At 35.6% G+C, this 3,132-nt stretch overlaps 1 annotated feature.

The window, feature by feature from the left end:
• Positions 1,916–2,453: a silencer, noted in NCBI's record as "fragment chr2:4241556-4242093 (GRCh37/hg19 assembly coordinates)". NCBI's record gives its function as "represses an EF-1alpha promoter that drives an FKBP-Casp9 reporter gene in an ReSE screen in phorbol 12-myristate 13-acetate-treated (for megakaryocytic differentiation) K562 erythroleukemia cells {active_cell/tissue: K562(+PMA)}" and the evidence as "EXISTENCE:reporter gene assay evidence [ECO:0000049][PMID:32094911]".

Below are 3,132 nucleotides of genomic sequence, written 5' to 3'. Positions count from 1 at the left end.
GTCATTGTCATCACCATTGTCACAGTCATAATAAAGCATTCTCTCTCCCATTTCTTTCAAATACTACCTTTGTCATGTTATAAATTATTATATTGGGGGCTTTTCTGAGTTTTCTAGTATTTCCATTCATAGTCAATTTGCTGCTAATAAAGATTGTTTTAATTTTTGTGTCTTTATAATATGCTATAATATCAAGTAGCACATGGCATATATAGCTTTTCTTTCACAAAACATTGGCCATAATGATGAAGTTTTCTTCCACACAAATTGAAATTATTTTTTCAGGCTCAACATATCATTTAGATTTATATGAATGGCATTAATGTTTTAGAATTATTTGGAGAATATTAATATAAAATGTTACTTTTCTCATACAGGAAAAAGGTAACTATCTTCTTCAAGATCTCACATTTCCTTTTTCTCAAAAACAGAGGTTTTTATATTTATAGAATTTTATATTTTGCTTCTGTTGTGATGTGTACTTTATTTATACCATTAAATGCTATTACTCCATGACTATATGGAAAAGCTAATAATTTATCTGTGTTTATTTTGTAATAAACCACTTTATTATCTTTTTAGCCCAAATATAATTTGTCACTTTTCTTGATTTTTTTATGTAATAATCGTATTGACTGCACATAATAGTAATTTTGCTTCCTCTTCTCCAAAACTTATACCTCATTTTATTTTAAACTTTTTGTTGATTTTTAGGGCACTTGTACAATGTAAATAATAAATCACACCAAGTATCATTTTTCTGTGTGTGATTTTAGCAGAGGCACCTACTATTTCAGGTCAAAGTTAATCATATGTTTAATTAACGTTTCATTATCACTCTGGTGTATGTGACACACATCCTCTGTCATGTGCACCTCCTTGAAAGATGCGCAGATCTGGATGTGCTTTTCCTCAATGTTAGTATCATTGTGGTCTTAGTGTGCTCCTTTTTAAATGGGATTATATGTTTATGTCCACAGGAGTTTACGTGTAATTTATACTTAAGTTATGAAACAAAACAATAAATGACAATTAGTGAAACCATCACATGCCTGAAGAAACAGAACAGAATCATCCCAAGCCGCCCTTTCTCTCAGTTATTTCCCTACTGCATTCCTCTGCTTCCCATCACTACGGCAACAATTAGCCTGACTTTGAGGTTTATCTTGTACTTGCTTATTTTCCTAAATATTTTCATCACCATTATATGCATCTCAAAACACTATGTAGTTTGGGTTGTATTTAAACCTTATAAACGTGGATTCGTGCTGCTCATCTTCACCAAAATCACTACAAAGACTTTATTCCACTACTTACTAAGACTCTTCTGCTGCTTTCAAGGATCTAAGGGGAAAACATCCCTGCCCAAATAAACAAGTGTTTATTGAAAAAATTATTTCTCCTTCCTTGTAATGATTTATAGTCTCCCATTCCCAATTTGTGAAGCACATATGCAAAATGCATTTATCTGTACAGAGAAATTATTAAACATAGATTTTTATTCAAAATGACTTAAAAGTGTTCTCAAAGGTCAACTATACAGTATTAAGCTAAAATGTTTCCAGAGACCAAAATCAAATTCTCCATTTTAAAAATTCATTTGAAAAACATTTTACTTTTTGAACTGATGAAACGGCCATGTGTTTGAATATATAGATCTAAAAGCAATTTCAGAACAGAGTGTTACTCTTCCCTCTATCAGGTTATGAACTACAAGATAAGACAGCATTTCTCATATTTCACTGAAGCTTATCAGCTTTCGGCAGCATGCTATGCATGATGTACACACGTAATCAGAAACTGTTCATCTATCAGCGAATTAGCTTGTACCTAACCCATCTATTTTTCTAACTCCAGGAAAATTGATTTTGAAGACACTCCCATGCAGTATATATTTATCTGGCTAACTTGAAATATCTCCAATGCAATTTGAGGTAATTTCATGATTATCACCTTTTTCAAGGCCCCGAACTGCTCTTCCTGGGCGGCCCGGAGTGTGGGGATGCCACTCACCCTTTGGTCAGGTCATCTACCTGGGAGTCAGTTATTTTGATGTCTCTCTCTGAACTCCACGTCATCAGATCCCTGAGACTCTGACTCAAAATACTCGCTATTCAAAAAATCTTCATTTCTTCCACTCTACGCCCTAGTCCAAGCCAGGCCCTCCTGTCATCAAGACCACTGCAACACTTCCCCATCAGTTCCACTGCTTATGTTTTTCCCCCGTGCCAGATATTCTCTACTGGGCAGGTTGAATCATTCTTTACAGGACCAGATCACATTTCTTTTCTGCATCACCACTCAATGTCTCTCCACCACGGGCACATTAGAAGTCCAAGTCAAACACTGGCCTACACCCTGCCTTGTCTGCTCCTGACTGCCTCTCTGATCTCAGCTCTTTCTCTCTTTTCCCGCCTTCGAGTGAGGCCATGCTGGCCCCTGGCTATTGCTATGTCATGCTAAGAAGCAACATAATGTACAGAGAATTTCCTGAAGACTCAGAAATTAATAACACCAGTTTCCTTTGAAAATGAAGATACAAAGAGTGGTTAAAATAAGGAGAATTTGTAGAATGTTTGTTAAAAAAAAAAATTAAATTCTCATCTTTGTTTCCACTCTATATAGGTAGAGTGTGATAATTCCACTTGTATCTTAGCAAAAGACTCAAAGTTTATTCTGGATAAAGACAAATTTCTATAAGAGAAAACATGAGACATAGTTAAGGTTGATGGTTTTATCAGGGGTTGTCCCTCCCTTCACTCTGCACTTCTTGCTGTCACCATGTGAAGAAAGATGTGTTTGCTTCCCCTTCCACCATGATTATATGTTTCCCAAGGCCCCTCCCCAGCCCTCATAACTGTGATTGAATTAAAACTCTTTCCTTTATAAATTACTCAGTCTCAGGTATGTCTTTATTCACAGCATGAGAATAGACTAATACAGTATATTGATACCAGAAGTGAGGTCCTGCTATAAGAATACCTGAAATGTAGAAGCGATTTTGGAACTTGGTAACAGGCAGAGGTTGGAACAGTTTGGAGGGCTCAGAAGAAGACAGGAAGATGTGGGAAAGTTTGGAAATTCTTAGAGACTTGTTGAATAACTTTGACCTAAATGCTGATAGTGATATGG

This window comes from Homo sapiens, chromosome 2 (genome assembly GCF_000001405.40).
Source record: "Homo sapiens chromosome 2, GRCh38.p14 Primary Assembly".
Classification (NCBI taxonomy): Eukaryota; Metazoa; Chordata; class Mammalia; order Primates; family Hominidae; genus Homo; species Homo sapiens.
The sequence above is the reverse complement of the archived record's forward strand: the minus strand, read 5'-3'. Positions and strand labels throughout refer to the sequence as shown.